We start from the raw sequence: 19625 nt of genomic DNA, 5'->3' as shown, positions 1-19625 counted from the left end.
ATGAGGTATTCTCTACTGAATTTATCACAGTAGGCTGAGTGTTAGTGTTTGGGTGTGCAAATTGGGAAATCTGACAGACCTAGGTTCTGCCACTTTCCAACTGGCTAAACTTGGGCAAACTACTAAAAATCCTCACTCTCAGTTTCCATGTCCATGAATTGGACATAAAAACAGTATCTATTTCCTGGGGTTGTTTGAAGCTTACAATAGCTAAAGCATGGCAAGTGTAGTGTACGTGCTGATTAATGCACACTTGACCTTAAACTTGAAAAAAAAAATGTGCCTGGTAAACAGACATAGGGATTCAGTGAAAACAGGCATTTTAAACATTAAAATACTATAAAATAGCCTACTCATTATGCAATAAACACCTTCCTGTAAGTCATGCCTGGCATTTTCCAAAAAAAAAAAAAAAGTATTTCACAGTTATTTTACCTTCATCTTGTCCAACAATAAACTTGTGCGTTTTCAGCAGATTGGATCTCATTCTGGTCAGCTGGTCTAAAAGACCTCTACGGGGAATATCATAAGCATTTCTGTATGTCTGAGGTTTCAAATCCTATTTGAAATGAAACAAATAATTTCAGTTACTCCTAAGGCTTTTAATATAGAAATGTCATACTTATCTCTCTTAAAATGTTATTGAAGAGTGTTATATCAATACAACTGACTACAGTAGAATTTTCCCAGTGGCAAAATTCCACTTGCTAGCCTTGTTCTGCATTGTAACACACCTACAGGGTATTAAAGCCACTGGGACTATCCCTTTTCAAATATGTCATTTAAAACACCAAATCCCGAGATTGATACCTGTGGCCGCCTTGCAGGACCACTGCTCGTACTCTAGATGTATTCCTCTGGCAGCCATGGAGGGGAGGTGAGCTGCTGGGATCTCCCTTCAGGAAAGCAATGGCTGATCCTGCAAGGAGTGCAGTTAGCAGAGAGCCTCCCGCTGCTGTGGTGCCATAGGGATCCGCTGCAGCACTGAGCTGAGGCCATGCCCTTCCCAGGCTGCCCATAGCCAGTAACAGACAATGGCAGGGTGTTAGGGCCTGGCCAGCTCTGCCCAGTGTGGCCCTCCTCTGTAGGAAATCTTGGTGCTAGAGGTCCCCACTGTGCTGGCCAAGACTTTCTCCAAGCTACACCAGTGTCTGAGCTTCTTCACACCCAATTCTCCTTCATTCCTCCTTCCTCTCACAGGTGATGGGCCAGCTTTGTAGCTTGGAAGCTCTGCCTGCCTACTCCAGCTTCATCTCCCCTTTATCTTTCATGGGCGTTACCCACAAAACATATCTTGTCCATTTAATTCCATATTGATATCTGCTGACAATTCCTAAACTGGTCCATTATTAACTACTAACTCCAAAATAGGATTGTCCATTATTTCAAAACTAAAGGAATATGAAAGACATAAATGTATCAGACAAGTTCAAACAAATACAAACTATTTATGTCACAATTTACCTTGTTTAAGAGCCCAATTTGGAAGCCAGCAAATTCTTTGGTGTTCAATTCTGTCAGTCTAAGTGCAGTTTCCCCTGTGATTTCTTTCAATAGTTTTCTAAAATTTTTATTGTGAGTCAAGGACATGCCACCTCCAGAATGATTTTTCACTTTAATTCCAATTTCCTGGGGAGGTTTCTTCCCCACTGATGCTAGTATTCGTTCTGACTCTAGTTTGGTCTAAAATGAAAGTACATAGTATGTTATAAAAACATCTACATTACCACTGTCATTTTTACTACTTAAGAAAGATAATACTTTCAGAACCCCACAGAACAATTTTCAATTACAAATCACAGAAAAATGGATAATTAAACATTTTCCTGTGCTTCTTTGCACTATCACAGCAAACAGATAGGGGGCAGGAAAGACAAATAATATTTTTTTTTCTTGTCTAGTGTCAAAATTATAATAAAATCATGGAGAGAATAAAAACCATGAATAAGAATTTCATTCATAGACATTTAAAAGCACATTTTGTTACTATAAAATCTAGTCTAAGTGAACAGGTTCATTTCAGACTCAGACATAAAGGTTTAAGACTGTATTTATACGTGTAAACTAGTACTAAAATTCAGATCACATCGACTGGCATTATATCTGAAAAAATTAAACTATTTATCTCTAATATTGGACTATCCAAAAAAGGTCTGAAAAAATTAAACTATTTATCTCTTATATTTGACTATCCAAAAAAGGTCTTAGAAGATAATGCTTAATTTAACAGATATTACTAAGTAAGTAATTTGTAAAAAGCCTCTTAATAGGCATTGTGATACCATATTGATTAATACTGCTTGAGTGTATTATAGCAATATATATTTGGCATATTTTGTGTTTTACATACATCTGAAATGGCTCAAGAAACACTGGTGACCCAGTTATTAAATTAGTAATTTGAGCTATTATAAATTAGCTATGATCTTCCCTTTTTCTCAGAAAGATGGAATTCCACCAATGTTTGGTAAACCTAAAATGATTTTGGATTTCTTGTGGTTTGGTGACAGATATTTATCAATTTTCCCTAATTATTGGAATTAAGTCTATGTTTATTATCACTAAAAAATTCTTAAGTCATGAAATATGAGATAAGAGCAAATGAAGCATCTGTTTCCTTAAATGGTCTTGAAAGCTCATTTGTAAAATGATACATGTGCCCCAAAAGGTCCCAGAACTTGCATTAATTAAAATCTCTGTACACTATTCTTCCTTGTGGCCATACCTTGGTGACACAGCCTTAAAGGCTTAGGTAAACATCAAATTAAAAAAAATCGATAGATCAATAGATAGATAAATAAATAAATAACCAAACCAAAACATTTACAACAACCACAAAAAATCTATTAGCAGAGAGGAAAGGAGGTTAGGGGGACACTTGGTAGATTAGAAATCTGGGGTTGCCTTTACTTTCTTTTGCACTTATAAGCACACTGGACTGGTAGGAGCTGGTAAGCTCCAGACCATACTGAAGTTGTTGTCAGTTCCTAGCAAGGTGTGTCGGCATCCCAATTGTGGAGTCACTTTGGTTCTTTGGTGAAATCTGATGTTTTGCTCACTACTCTCCATTTCCTAAAGGCCAAACTTCCAAACACATCCACCTTGAAGCATTATCACCACTGCGAATGCTACTATTGTCCCCTACCTGGGAATACCTTTGTGCATAAGGTAAGTAAAACTGCTGCATTAATTTGTCATATAACATAACACATTCATATGATAGTAAAGTTCTAACTCAGTAGTTCTCAAATATTTCCATCCTACAAGAATGGGCTAAGTAGAGGTGAGAAGTATGATAAGGAACGGTGAGTGGAGGATGAGGTACTAATAGAGAGGGGCAGGCAAGGGACAAGGTGAATAATGGCAAATGAGGAACAGGTGGAGGGTGAGAAGAGAGGAAACTGAGCTCCACTCTTCAGTTCCCCTTGGGGTCTATCACCCTCCAGTGTGAGGAACACTGGTCTCATCTCCCCACTCTCCAGGGAAAAGCATATAGCTCTTTATCCAAGGGCTAGCATGTGAGTATAAGTCCTTCACATGCCTGAAAACTAATCTCAGACAAGTCATTTAATCACACCACGCCTCAGTGTGCTGATCTAAACAGGAGGGATGCTGTAGCCCAGAGTGATCTGAGGAGGAACTAGGTTGAAGATAGACAAAATGTGACCCATGAGAGAAGTCTATTAAACCTCTGCCCCATATCAACCAGCTTGCGGGTAGGACAAACTGGCAGGCAAAAGGAGAAATGGCACAGCATCAAATGATACTGACAGACCCTTAACTGCAGCTTAATGGTGAAGCTAGAAGCCATAGAGAATCACATTATTACTAATCCATAAAGTGTAGAGATATATACACATTTAATTTGAAAAATTACAATTACACTAAAGAATAAGGAAATGCACTTCTGAGGGCAAAGGATTTTTGTTTGTTTGTTTTTACCAATACTACCTGTTGGCTGAGTTTTTTAAGGTAAGAGATAACACTGTAACTAAGTCCACAATCTAAATTATCTGATATCAGATTTGGAGCTCCCATCATCCTTAGTGCTTTCTTTAATGGCTATAAGGAAACAAAATACACAACAGTAAGAATAGAATAAATCTTAAAATACTCAAAGTTCAGTTATAAGGGGCAAAGGGACATGATTCATTTCTTAGAAGTCAAGGTGCTGCACATAAAACCAAACATGGAACATTAAAAAGTGGCAATGAAAATAGCAGAGAAGTAAGGAGCAGAAAGTAAAAAAAAATCAGAAGAGAGTGGGATAAGAAGAGCAAGTAACAGCAAATTCAAACAAGTAAATTGCGTTCAATCTTATTTCCCAAATCATCAAATCATTTCACATTGCATTTTATTGTTTGCCCCATTACTGCCATGGTAAACAGTAACACACCCCAATTTCTCCTCCCAGTGACACCAATGGTACCATTTAAGATTCTGCCTTTTCACCTCTAGAAACTTCGCTTAAAGGTTACCACATCAACCTCTGAAATTATTTTGGTAATCTTGATTTAGATTATATTACCAGTTCAAAATCATGAATACTTCACATTATGAAATCCAAAATGAGGCCAAGTCATTTCTGAATTTTTTTGGATTCCGCCTCTCACCACCAGTGCCCCAACTTCATGCTGTGTCTAGGACACATTTAAGAGGCAATAGGCAACTGTAATGTCTTCAGATTTTCTTTTTCCAGAGGGAAACCCCATACTGAGAATTTCTAGAGTTAAAAAGGGAAGTTGATGTAATATATGAATCCAGATCTATTTATTCTTAAATTCCAATGAAATTAAGGTTACTTTTAATAAGAGAAACATAGATGTGTTTTATAAAAATAACCATGGCAGTTAAAGGAATAAAATAGAGAAAACAGCTCTCTTTTGTGCCGCCATGACATCTCCAAACTCTTACACATGATTTGAGAAGACAGTGACGACACAAATATCTGTAAAATAAAAAGATATCTCTCTTATTGCAACAGTAAAAGCTTTTGATCACTAACATTTCTTGTGACAAGAATTATCATTGATACAGTTAATACATATATACACACAAATACATACTAATAGGTAGTATGGAGGCAGAGTTTTTAAGTAGCTGTCAAAAGCCTGTCGCCACTTCAGATTTGGCTTAAGCTTGTGAACTTTAAACAAGTCATCTGTAATAGAAAAATAAAATATTACATCATTCTAGTCCTGAGCTCTAAGATATAATCAAGCAACCCACATCTAGAAACTTCAGCTTTTAATGTAGATGAAAATTTCATTGGCGTTTATTTGATTATCTTTTTTAGTGGTTGTACTATTTACCAAAATTATATATAGTATTTTTTCTAAAAAATGAAATAAATTCTTAAGTTACATATTCCTCTTTCATCTGCAATGCTACATGAAATACAATATTAAAACAATGATTTTGATCCACTTGAAATATTTTCCCAACCTCTTACATATTGGTAACTAGTAATTTTCACCTCAGGGGCAATCCATGGTCACTGGTTGATGGAATAACATTTATTTCATTTAAACATAGAGGGTGTTATCCATTTTGCTGAAAGGTCAAGGTAAGAGACTTTACAAAGTATATACAAACAAAAGCTAAGCCTATAATTTCTAGGCAGTGATGAGCAAGCTCTAAAACTATATTTTGGGCCAGGCGCAGTGGCTCACACCTGTAATTCCAACACTTTGGGAGGCTCAGATGGATGAATCACTTGAGCCCAGAAGTTTGAGACCAGCCTGGGCAACATAATGAGACCCCTGTCTCTATAAAAAAAATAAACAAAAATTAGCCAGGTATGATGGCATATGCCTGTAGCTGGGGAGGTTGAGGCAGGAGGATTGCTTGAGCCTGGGAGGTTGAGGCTGCAGTGAGCTGTGATCGTACCACTGCACTCCAGCCTGGGTGACAGAGCAAGACTGTGTCTCAAAAAAACATAATAAAATAAAATAAAATAATAAAATAAAAATTTTAATCAGCCTATGCTTTGTTTAGCCATATTTCCCTGCCTCTGCATTTTTTTTTTATTTCCATGATCACACATTTTGAGCCAAACTTTAGGTCACTCACTGACCTAAAGTCATTGGGTGATAGTAAAAGCACTAGTAGAAGTAAGTACAGATGTTAGGTTGAAGTTTAAAATTCTGTAGAACAACTAAACATGTTTCTTGAATACCATGTACTAAAAATATTTGAACTAAAAATATTTACCTAAGTAGACATTCCCTATCTTTTCACACTTAAATTTAATTATTTTAATAATCTAAATACATTTTATATACGCATGAAAATTTCCTTCACATCTCATTATTTCCTTCCAAGTGTAAGAAAAAAACATTTTTCTAATACAATAAAAATATAAAAATTGGAATCCCCAGACATCAACATGAATCTGCCACACATACTATAGGTACCAAAGACACTATAAATTCATCCTTTATTTTGTGTCTTAAGGTTTTAGTAGTTTTGATTTTTTTAAAAAAAATGCTTTACTTACAGAGACAAAACCATCCCTATCCCACATGCATAATTTCTTTACAAATAGGGCTATTCTTTGAAAATCTGAATTACTTTAGTTAAGAAAAGCGACTACATATTTCCTTCCTTTTACAGCTATAATAAATTATTCACTCCTGCTGAAACAAATTTAAATGAATTTACAAAGTCATAAAATGTAGGTCTTTTGTTAAAGATTTGAAGATATTTCTGGTTCATTGCAGCAAGTGGGGCCTTTAAAGACCATTCATATCTTGACAGAAAGGAATGAGAGACCATGGATATATCCTGTTATACCATGTCTTTATGTTGTGTCTGTTGGGAATTAGGCAGATTTTGGAAACTAACGGACAAACGTAAATACTGGAGAAACTTTTAGATATAAATAGATTAGATAATCAAGTGAATAATACTCTTTGCATTTCTAACAATGCCAAGTGCAATGATTCCACCAAGGAGCTCATTTAGGCTAATTATTTTCTGCCAGAGTTTTAAAATGGGAGTCAGGAGAAGAAAGAAAATCTTCTGCAGTCTAGATTAAGAGTAGAGAGCTCCTGGGGTGACACTGCCTTAGTCACTACCTCTGTAGCTCAGCAAATTATTTCCATGGCATTAAATACCCATTCACATGGACTCTCTAGGATGGTACAGTAAAGGTGTCACATAAACAATTAGCTGATCAACATTTGAAAGAAGATATGATGAGAGTGTAGAATGAAAGTAAAATGATACTGCCAGCACCTCAAAAATGACCGGTATTTTCTCTTCCAGTTCCTTTCTCCCCATTTCTTTCTTCAAAGAGAGGGAAGACCTGGGTTTGAGTTCAAGCTCAGCCACATCCTTAGCTCAGTGAGTTTGGAGAAATTGCCTTTTGTAAGCCTCCATTTCATCTATAAAATGGGTTAGATGATAATTGCCTTACCACAAGACTATTCTAAGGAACTACATAATGTATGTGTAAAAGCCCCGTACAAAATGAAAAACAAACAAACCAGTGTAAGCTGTTAAGCACCAGATACATAGTGACTGATACACATCAAAGTATCCTGCTTCTATTCTCTATTCTCATACCTCTCCCTTTCTTCCTCCTGATCATAACTGGTTTTAATATGGAACTAAAGTTTATTTTTTACACAAGTCCTCAGTTCTTAATTTAAAAGAACAGGTGGATTGAATGTGATATATTTAAGAAAACGAAAAAAAAAGTTGTTACAAATGCTCTAATTTCTGCAGTTATTAGGTCTCAATAGAAAAACTAATTTCCTAATTGGGAGAGAGTCCTTTGCTAACTACAACAATCTGGTGACCTCCTTAATGAAATGATTCTGGTAGCTCATTGATACAATTAAGCTTCGTTTATCTATTCCAGAAAATGAGATATTTTATATTTTCTGGTAAGTTTTAGTGCATAAGTAATTAAACTTTCATGACCTTAATTTGATTGAAATCTGGTATTAATAAAAAGAAAACAAGGGACACTGTTATGAACAATTACTGTACTATGCAGTAATATAGTGATGCTTCTGGACTTATGTAGTCTGTGTAACTTAACTTGCCCTTTTACTAACTGTCCCTGTCCACTAAAACTGCAAAATTATACAATAGCCTTCTTAGTATAATATAGCAGTGCCTTCGAGAGCTACTAAGATAATGTAGGTATTAATAATGACAGTAATAATAACAACAGCATTTATTGAGCACTTACTATTTGCCAGGCAAGTTCTAAACAATTTAACTGTATTAACTCATTTAATTCCAACTAAATCCCTTTGAGGTAAGTACTATCATTATCCCCATTTCACTAATGAGGAAACTGAGGCATAGACAGATTAGGTATCTTGCCCAACGTCATGAAACTAGCAAGTAGCAGAGCCAGATTCATACCTGGGCAGCTATGCCCTCCAGCCCAAACTCTTAACCACTATAAATGTCAAACTCCCCAGAGAATTAAGTAATTATGGAAATGTTGAGTTTCTGTTTATTTCAGAAACTCACAAGGAATCCCAAGTTTGGACTTTAGGAGCTCAAGGACCTCCAGCCTCAAAGGGTGTTAAAAACCCTATACTCCTCAGAAAACACAGGTTACAGAAAGGCCTGGAGATGGATATTTGAAGCCAGGGGGCAGAATGGGAACTGAGTCAAGATTGGCATGGACCCTAGCTGAATGTATGGGATTAGGGAACAGGGGAAGAGTCAAAGATGCCTCCAGAGTTTCTGGTGTGGGATGTTTGCATAGACATGGTGATGCCACTAACTAAACTGTGAAGAGAGGAGGAAGAGCATGGTAAGGTAAGAGTTCAGCTTGGCTTGAAGACACTCTTGAAACATCCAGAAGGCTGTTGGGCAACCAAAATAATTTAGGTCATCATGCTCTAGGCAGGGTTGGAGTCTTAGTGTTATAGGCTAAGGAGGACCAGGCACAGATGCCACACATGTCTTACTGGTGACAGAAGACACTTCAAACAGAAGAAACACTTGACATTTGAGGAATAGAGTGATGCAAACTAAAAGGTGACCAGGAAGACAGTGTCAGGATTTGACTTGGCATAGTGCTGAGGAGTTTGGGGAAGGGCACCACATGGCAACTTAAGCACAGAAGGTTTTAGGCAAAGGGAGAACTGAATGCTTGATCACACTATAATCATTCCTCTTAACCATTATGTCATGCCTTCATCTGACCTCCATTACCTGAAAGACGAGCAAAGGCAAAGATGAGAGGATGAGTCTTGCTATTGTAAAGTGCTCTACATCCTGATAGCTACTGGAAGACCAGCTACTCTAGTTAAAGGAATTTTCAGGGAATAATTTGGAAGGCAGGCTGGATTTAGACCAAAGATGGGACCCTAGAGCTTAGCCCATAATAGTTGTATAGGACTTTCACAACTGCTCAGTAGTAATGAGGTCACCTCTACCCATATGGTGTCAGTGGAGGTCAAGTGTGGAAGATAATGAAGCATTCCTATCTCTTCCAGCCAGGAAGGTATCATTCTAGGGAGGATCCAGAACTCCTACTCACACACAACAATAACAAGGAGATCCCTCCCTTTTGGTGTCAATGAAGGCCAAGTGGCGAGCCTGGACTTCTACCTGGCATGAATGAGGCAGCACCTCCCAGTTTCTCCAAGAGGGGTGTGAGAGGAAGTAAGTTAAAACAGAAGGTTTAAGTAAGATCCAGAGACTCATAACAAAATATTGAAAATGTACAGGAAAAAAATCACTCATCATACCAAGAACCAGGAAGATCTCAAAATTAATTTTTTTTTTTTTTGAGACAGTGTATCACTCCAACACCCAGGCTGGAGTGCAGTGGCGTGATCTGGGCTCACTACAACCTTTGTCTCCCAAGTTCAAGTAAGTGTCGTGCCTCAGCCTCCCGAGTAGTGGGAATTACAGGCGTGCACCACCATGCCTGGCTAATTTTTGTATTTTTAGTAGAGACGGGGTTTCACCATGTTGGCCAGGCTAGTCTGGTCTGGAACTCTTAACCTCAAGTGATCCACCTGCCTTGGCCTCCCAAAGTGCTGTGATTAAGGTGTGAGCCACCGTGCCTGGCCTCAAAATTAATTTAAAAAGACAATTAAGGGATGCCAACACCAAGATAATAGAGATGTTAAAAATATCCAATTTAAAGCGGCCATCATAAAACATGTTTCAAAAAATAATATGAGCAGGCTTGAAACAAATGAAAACACATGCAAAGAAACAGAGAATAAGAATAGAAGATATAAAGAATAACTAAGTGGAAATTTTAGAATTAAAAAAATACAATAACCAAAATAAAAAGCTCAGTAGATAGGCTCAACAACAGAATGCAGGGGACAGAGGAAATAATCAATGAACTGGAAAATAGAACAATGTAAATTACCCAATCTGAATAACAGAGAAAATAGAATGAAAAAAATGAACGGAGCCTAAGGAACCTAAGAGACTATAAGAAAAGATCTAACATTCATGTCAACAGAATCCTGGAAGGAGAAGAGAAAGAAAGTGGGGCTGAAAAAGTACTCAAGGTAATAATGGCTGAAAACCGGCCAAATTTGGAAGGAGAAATAAACCTACAGATTCAAGAAGCTGAATGAACCTCAAACAGAATAATCTCAGAGGAGTGCATGCCAAGACACATCATAATCAAACTTCTGAAAACTACAGGCAGAAATAAATCTTGAAAGCAAAGAAAAACAATACCTCACTTACAGAGGAAGAACAATTAGAATTAAAGTAGATTTCTCATTAGAAACCAAAAGAACAGAAGGCAGTTACACAGCATTTTTCTAGTGCTAAAATAAAAGTACTGTCAACCGAGAATTCTATACCTAGCTATATATATAGCTATATATATAGCTATATATATATATATATATATATACACACACACACACATATGGATATATACATATGTATATACATATATATATGTATATATATATTTCAGGAATGAAGGGGAAATCAAGATATTCTCAGATGAAGAGAAACTAAGAGAATTTGTCACTAGCAGACCTACCCTTAAAAAACAGCTAAAGGATGTTCTTTAAACAGAAATTAAACATAAAAGAACAAACCTTGAATTATCAGGAAGAAAGAACAGGATATGCCAAAATATGGTTTAAAACAATGGACTTTCATCCTGAGTTTTCTAAATTATGTTTGACAGTTGAAGCGAAAGTTATAACACTGCCTCATGTATTTCTAATTGTACATAAAATAGTTCAGATAATTTTATTATAAATAGAGGAGGGTAAGGGAATATAATGAGAGATAAAGTTTCTATATTCCACTCAAATTAGTAAAATAATGAGAACGAGTAGACTGTGGTAATTTGTGTATAATAACACCTGGAGCAATCACTAAAAAAGCTATCCAAACAGATATACTTGAAAGTACTATAGTAAAAGAAAATAGAATTCTAAAAAACGTTTAAATAACCCAAAAGATGCCAGTAAAATGAAAACAGAGAAAAGAAAAATAGAACAAAGAGAAAACAATACTATAAGATGGCATACTTAAGCCCTAACATAACAATAATCACATTAAATGCAGATATCTAAATACATCAATTAGAAAACAAAGATTGGCAGAGTGGATTAAAAAACATGACCCAAAAATGTGCTGTCCATAAGAAACTCACTTAAACAAAACAGTTATAGGCAAGTTCAAAGTAAAATGATGGGAAAAGATATATCATGCAAACATCAAAGAAAAACAGAAGTGGATACATTAGTATCAGATAAAGCAGACTTAAAAGCAAAGAAAATTAGCAAAGATACATTACATAATGATCAATCAAGGAAGAATACACCATGATTCTAAATGTGTATGAACCAAGTAAAAGCTGCAAAATAGTTGAAGCAAAAATTGATGGAACTGAAAAAGAAACAGACAAATCCACAATTATAGTTGGAGACTTCAACAACCCTCTCTCAAAAACTGATAGAGCAAATAGACAGAAAATCAACAAGGATATAGCAGAACACCATCAACCAACAGGAACAATTTAACACTTGTAGAATATCCTACCAAACAACATGAGACCATACATTATTCTCAAGCACTGCTGGAATATATATTAAGATAGAAAATATGCTTTGCCATAAAGCAAATGGCAACATATTTATAAGAGTAGATATCGAATACAGATGTGTCCTCTGACCACGATGGAATTCAATCTAGAAACTAGTAACAAAAAGATAATAGGTAAATTTCAAAATACTTGGAAATCAAACAATACACTTCTAAATAATCTATGGGTCAAATAAGTCTCAGGAGAAATCAAAAGACAAAGTAAAGTGAATGAAAATGAAGGACAACATGTAAAATTTGCGGAAAGCAGCTAAATTAGCGCTGAGAGAAATTTAAGGCACTAAGTACTACTTACAATAGAAAAGAGGAAAAGTATCAAACCAATAATCTAAGATCCCATACCAAGAATCAAAAAAGAAAAGCAAAACAAACTTAAAGTAAGAAGAAAGGAAATAAATCAATGAAATTTTAAAAAAAAATTGATAAGATTAATGAAACAGCTGGTTCTTTGATGAGATTAATAAAAGTGACAAACATCTAGCAAGGCTGACAAAGACAAAGAAGACATAAGACCCGTATTATCAATACCAGGAATAATATAGGTGATATCACTAAAGACTCTGTACACATCAAAAGGACCATAAGGGATTGCTAAGAATGATTCTACACACATACATTTCACAACTTAGATAAAATGGACAAATGGACTGATTCCTCAAAAGGACATATAACCACATTTCACTCAATGAAATACATAATTTGAATAACCCTATAACTATGAAAGAAATTGAATTAATAATTTGAAAACTCCCAACAGGAATGTTTAGAACCAGATAGTTTCACTCAGGAATTCTATCAAATGTTTACAGAATAATTAATACCAATTATACACAATCTTTTCCAGAAAACAGAATAGGAGAAGCACTTCCCAATTCATTTTATGAAGAGCTTGTATTACCTTGATACTAAAACCAAAGACAACAACAAAAAAGAAAACTACAGGCCAATATCTTTCATGAATATAGACACAAAATTACTCAAGAAAATATCAGCACATAGAACTCAGTAATATATATGAAAAGAATTATATGCCATGACCAAGTGAGATTTATTTCAGGGATAGAAAGCTGGTTCAATATTTGAAAATTAGTCAGTGTAATCCATCATACTTAACAGACTAAAGAAGAAAAATCATATGGTCATATCAAATGATGCAGAAAGAACATTTGAGGCCTGGCCCAGTGGCTTGTGCCTATAATCCCAGCACTTTGGAAGGCCGAGGCGAATGGATCACCTGAGGTCAGGAGTTCAAGATCAGCTTGCCCAACATGGTGAAACCCCGTCTCTAACTAAAAATATGAAAATTAGCCAGGCAGGGTGGTACATGCCTGTAATCCAGCTACTTGGGAGGCTGAGGCATGAGAATCGCTTGAACCCAGGAGGTGGAGGTTGCAGTGAGCTGAGATTGTGCCACTGCACTCCAGCCTGGGCAACACAGCAAGATTCCATCTCAAAAAAAAAAAGAAAGAAAAGAAAAAAAAAAAAGAAAGAGCATTTGAGAAGCTTTAACACCTATTTATGATTTTTTAAAACTCAGAAAAATACAAATAGAAGGGGAATTCTTCAACTTTTTATTTTTGAGATGGAGTTTTGCACTGTCTCCCAGGCTGGAGTGCAGTGGCACAATCTCGGCTCATTGCAACCTCCACCTCCCGGGTTCGAGTGATTCTCCCGCCTCAGCCTCCCAAGTAGCTGGGACTACAGGTGCGTGCCACCACGCCCAGCTAATTTTTGTATTTTTTAGTAGAGACAGGGTTTTGCCATGTTGGTCAGGCTGGTCTCAAACTCCTGACCTCAGGTGATCCACCCGCCTTGGCTTCCCAAATTGCTGAGATTACAGGCGTGAGCCACCGCACCCAGCCAGAACTCTTCAACTTGATGAAGAAAATCTACAAAAGCATTATGCTTAATGTAAGAATGAATAGTGCATAGTTGTCAAGCACCGATGGAACATACATCTTACCACTGCCATTAAACACAGTGCTGGAAGTTCTCTACAGTACAGTAAGGCAAGAAAAGAAAAGAAAAAACATAAAGATAAGAATAGAAAAGGTAAAACTGTCTCTATTTGCAGATGACATAATTGTCTATGTTGAAAATTCCAGGGAATCTACAAAACTCTCCTACAACTAATAAGTGAGCTCAGTAAAGTTGCAGGATACAATATTAACATAAAAATCAACTGTATTTGTATATACTAGCAGTGAACATGTAGATACCAACATCAAAAATACAATACCATTTGCAATCACTCAAAAAATGAAGTAAGTGTAAATATAACAAAATATGCACCGTATTTGTAAGTGGAAAACTGCGTAACACCAATGAAAGATCAAAAAAGATCTAAATAAGTATTTGCAAGTCACCTATCTGTCAGAGGGCTAGTATCTATGATATATAAAGAACTTTCAAAACTCAACAGTAACAAAAGCAAACAATCTAATTAAAATATAGGGAAAAGTCAGTTCACCAAAGAACATATACAATGGCACATCATCACATCAGCACATAGAAAGATGATCAATATTGTTAGCCATTAGGGAAATACAAATTAAAACCACAGTGCTATATCACCATACACCTATCAAAATGGCTAAAATTTTAAAAATACTGACAACACCAATGGCTGATGAAGATGCAGAGAAACTGATTCACTCATACACTAATAGTGGGAATGTAAAATAGTATAGCTACTCTGGAAAACATTTAGGCTATTTCTTAAATAACTAAACATGCAACTACCATAGGATCCAGCAATTGCACTCCTGGGCATTTATCTCATAGAAGTGAAGACTTATGTTCACAACCTGTATGCAAATGTTTACAGTAGCTTTATTCACAATAGCCAAAAAGCATAAACAACACAGATGTCCTTCAACAGGTGAACAGGTGGAGAAACTGTGGTATATTAATGTCATAGTTTGTAAACTCAGCAGTGAAGAGGAACAAACTATTGATACTTGCAACAACCTGAAGGAATCTCTAGAGAATTACACTGACTGAAAAAAGCCAATCCCAAAAGGTTACATACTGAATGGTTCCATTTATATAACATTCTTGATATAATAAAATTGTAGACATGTAGAACCGATTAGTGGTTGGCAGTGGTTAAGGAGGGGATGGGTACAGAAGGCAGGTAGATGTGGCTGTAATAGGGCCTCATAAGGGATCTTTGTGGTGATGAAAATGTTCTGTATCTTCACTGCATCAATGTTAATATCACAATTGTGATACTGTACTGTAGTTTTGCAAGACTTCCATTTGGGAAAACTGAATAAAGAGTACATAGGATATTTCTGTGTTATTTCTTTTTTAAAAATCCTATTAAAAATTGTGTTTAGGCTGGGCACAGTGGCTCATGCCTGCAATCCCAGCACTTTAGGAGGCCAAGGTGGGCCAATCACTTGAGGTCAGGAGTTCGAGACCAGCCTGGAAAATATGGTGAAACCTCATCTCTACTAAAAATACAAAAAGCTGGGCGTGGTGGTGCGCACCTGTAATCCAAGCTACTTGGGAGGCTGAGGCGGGAGAGTCACTTGAACCTGGGAGGTGGAGGTTGCGGTGAGCCAAGATCATGCCATTACACTCTGGCTTGGGTGACAGAGAGACACTCTGTCTCAAAAAAAAAAAAAAAAGAAAAAAGAAAAGAAGAAATTGTGTTTAAAAACACGTAATACTTACCATCTTAACCATTTTTAACTGTACAGTCCAGTAGTGTTAACTGTATGCATATTGCTGTGCCACAGATATCTAGAGGCTTTTCACCTTACAAAACTGAAACTCTATTACCCACTGAAGAACAAGTTCCCATTTTCCCCTCACACAGCCCCTGTTTCTATGAGTTTGACTACTTTTAATACCTCATGTAAGTGGAATCATACAATATTTGTCATTTGGCTTATTTCACTTAGCATAAGTCCACTAGGTTCATCCATATTGTAGCATGTCACAAAATTTCCTTCTTAAGGCTAAATAATATTCCATTGCATGTATATCTACCACATTTTCTTTATTCATTTATCCATCAATGGATTTTTTTTTGGCTATTGTGAATAATGCTGCAGTGAACATGGGTGTGCAAATATATCTTCAAGATTCTGGATTCGATTCTTTTGGATATATACTCAGAAATGGGATTGCTGGATCATATGGTTAATTTTATTTTTAATTTTTTGAGGTACTTCTATCTGTTTTCCATACTGGTTACACCATTTTACATTCCTAAGAGTGCACAAGAATTCCGATTTCTCCACATCTTTACCAACACTTCTCATTTTCTGTTTTTGTGATAGTGACCATCCTGAGGGGTGTAATGTAATGCCTTACTGTAGTTTTGATTTGCATTTCTGTAATGATTAGTGATGTTGAGCATCTCTTGATATGCTTGTTAACCATTTGTACCTCTTCCTTGGAGAAATATCTATTCAAGTCCTTTGCCCATTTTTTAAGCAGGCTATTTAGGGTTTTGTTTTTGTTTTGCTATTGAAATGTAAGACTTCCTTATATTTTTTGGAAATTAAGCCCTTATAAGATATATGATTTGCAAATGTTTTCTCCTATTCCATAGGTTGCCTTTTCACTCTGTTAATCGTCTCCCTTGATGCACAAGCTTTTAAGGTTGATATAGTCCCATGTGTCTAGTTTTGTCTTTGCAGCCTGTGCTTTTGAGGTCATCTCTTTCTATATTATTTCTTACAACTACATGTGAATCTGCAATTATCTCAAAATAAAAAGTGTGTAAGTGGTATCATGTGGTATCTGTTCTTCTGTGTCTGCCTTATTTCACTCAGCATAATGTTTTCTAGCATAGTACCTACAGTTAACAATACTGTATTGTGTACTTAAAAGGTCAGTAAGAGGGTAGATCTTACCAGGGCAGGAGGAAACTTCTGGAGGTGACTGATAGGTTTATGGCATAGAATGAGGTGATGGTTTAATGCGTATATACTTATCTCCAAACTCATCAAGTTGTATACATTAAATATGTACAGCTTTTTGTACGTCAAGCATAACTCAATAAAGTAGATCAAAAAAAGTGCACTTAAAAATAGAAAAATAATATCATTAACAGTGTTAGTGAAGATTACATAGTCTAATCTCTTCACTTTATAGTTGTGGAAACTGAAGTCATAAAGACTTATTTAAGAAAAGGGATAAATAAATCTGCAAAATACAGACACTTTTTTACTGGCTGTCTTATTAATCTGAAAGATATAACCTATATCTTATGTTAATGATAATCAGCTCTTAGAAAGAGAACATCCCTCTTAGGTTGCACTAAGAAATAAAGTAGATAGGTTATTTAAAATAATCATGCTAATACATTTACGATGACTCATTCTTAAACTTCTTAAATCGACATGTAAAAGTATTGCAATTTCAGTATATTCAATGTATGTTGTATTTATAGCACTAAAAGTCTCATAGTTTTAATGATCGTATGAAAACTTAGTAAAGATTCGACCCTTTTTGCAAAAATTAAGAAACTCCACGAAATAAAAACATTTACAACTTTACAACTAGGATACTGTGCAGTAAGTACTACATTACTCTAAACAGATGTGGCTCTTCCAATAAGGGGAAAATATCTCCACACACATTTTCATTAGTATCTGAGTAACAGCTTCTTGAGTTGTTCCTTTTAGAACCTTGCTATGGAAATCACAGCTTCTACAACCACAGTCATTGCAGAATTTACTCTGGTACCTATTTTCTTAACTCACTACTCTGCCTAAAACAGATGCCTCAAGAGCATTTATCTTCTGAGGGGAAACAAGCACAAGCCATTACTCCCACCCCATGGTAGCTCTGTTTTGGTATTTTTTGGCCCAAACTATACAAAAAAGCCAAGTGCACTTCAAACTGGGGATTGGGGGTGGGGTGTGCATTGGAAGTTGCAACCTGAAGAACAAGCATAAGAATCACACACTGAAAGTCAAGCTTCTCTTCTGTTTGATGTAAAAACAACAAAAAGAAAACAAACAAAACAGAAAACAGTATGCAAATTCTATCCTTTCAAATCAATTTGTTACCGTCATCTACATTTAAAATGCTTAGTCTATTATCGATTTTTCATTTCTGTTGTATTTTAAAGATGATTCAGTGGCACATGTTTTACTTACCTAAAAGAGGAAGTAAAACTGGGTAGTTGTAAGGCATCACAAAGAGGTTTACACAAGTTAAAGTTGTACTGGCTTTTAAATAACCAAATGGATATCCAAGTTCATTGTACTTTCCACTGCTAGTAACAAATACCTGAGAATAACATGAAGTAATGCACAGTGATGACAATAAGGATTTTATGTCAAACCAAACCCATTGTAACATTCCATAGCAGCATCTATGGCGCAATTTGATTGTAATTTTAAAATAGCAATAGTGTTTTTAGCCTATGGTTATGTCAAAATATATTATACTAGGCCAGGCTCATGTACTAGGATTACAGGTGGCTCACACTTATAATCCTGACACTTTGGGAGACTGAGGTGGAAGGATTGCTTGAGGCCAGGAGTTTGAGACCAGCCTGGGAGACAAAGGGAGATCTCATCTCTACAACAAATTTAAAAAATTAGCCAAGTGTGGTGGCACGTGCCTATGGTCCCAGATCCTTGGGAGGCTGAGCAGGAGGATGGCTTGAGCCAGGGAGCTTGAGGCTGCAGTGAGTCATGACTGTGCCACTGCGCTCCACCCTGGGTGACAGAGCGAGACCCTGTCTCAAAAAAAATCCTACTAAATATGAATGTTCAGATCGCAATTCTCCTATAAATTATATTAAGAAATGAAACTATACTATGCAACAACCATTCAGAGACCACAGGCCACATCAACAGTACCCAAATATTTACTTACTTAGCAAAATGAAAAATAAAGCTGAAATACTGCTAAGAGGAAACCAGCCACTAAAACAAATTAACTTCTCAAAAGAACAAGTGGTAATCAGAGTGCAGACTGTGAAGAAAATAGAACACAGTCCCATGCCTGAAGCATGAAATTACAAAAACAAAGCCTACTTAAAGGATTATGTAAACCATCTTCATTGTACTATTATTAAGTCTTTGCTCCATGCATCTTTGCTGCCTCCTTCCCCTACCCATTTATCCATTTTTTTTTCAATAAATATTTACTGAGTAACCTGTTATAATAAGCCAGGCACTGGTGCTAATTATTTTGAGGCAGCAAGGAGATACTTTGGGTCAACCTGGAAGGCATTTCTCTTATAAATTATGCTGGTAGTGGCTGAGTGCGGTGGCTCACGCCTATAATCCTAGCACTTCGGGAGGCCGAGGCGGGCGGATCACCTGAGGTCAGGAGTTCCAGACCAGCCTGGCCAACATGGTGAAACCCCATCTCTACTAAAAAATACAAAAATTAGCCAGGCATAGTGGTGCGCCTGTAATCCCAGCTACTCAAGAGGCTGGGCAGCAGAATCACTTGAACCCAGGAGGTGGAGGTTGCAGTGAGCTGAGATTGTGCCACTGCACTCCAGCCTGGGCAACAGAGCAGGACTCTGTCTCAAAAAAAAAAAAAAAAAAAAAAAAAGTTATGCTGGT

General features: G+C 36.4%; 1 protein-coding gene across 25 annotated transcripts in view; it reads right to left on the bottom strand.

Moving 5' to 3' along the window:
- The window catches only part of INTS6L (integrator complex subunit 6 like), a 61851-nt gene that overhangs the window by 8013 nt on the left and 34213 nt on the right, over positions 1-19625 (bottom strand). For 9 of the 25 annotated variants that reach the window (NM_001351601.3, XM_006724740.3, XM_006724741.5 and 6 more), the window contains 5 exons: positions 18198-18330; positions 5067-5161; positions 3952-4062; positions 1465-1683; positions 436-559 (listed from right to left, as the gene is read on the bottom strand). In NM_001351601.3, coding sequence (NP_001338530.1) covers positions 436-559; positions 1465-1683; positions 3952-4062; positions 5067-5161; positions 18198-18330 — 682 coding nt within the window. Of the gene's footprint in view, positions 1-435; positions 560-823; positions 920-1464; positions 1684-2909; positions 5162-7239; positions 7389-18197; positions 18331-19625 lie in introns of those variants that run through there. The other 16 variants (NM_182540.7, NM_001351603.3, NM_001351604.3 and 13 more) reach the window with 9 other exon arrangements.

Source organism: Homo sapiens, chromosome X, assembly GCF_000001405.40.
Source record: "Homo sapiens chromosome X, GRCh38.p14 Primary Assembly".
NCBI lineage: Eukaryota > Metazoa > Chordata > Mammalia > Primates > Hominidae > Homo > Homo sapiens.
Note: the sequence above shows the minus strand (reverse complement) of the source record. Positions and strands in the feature narration are given on the sequence as shown.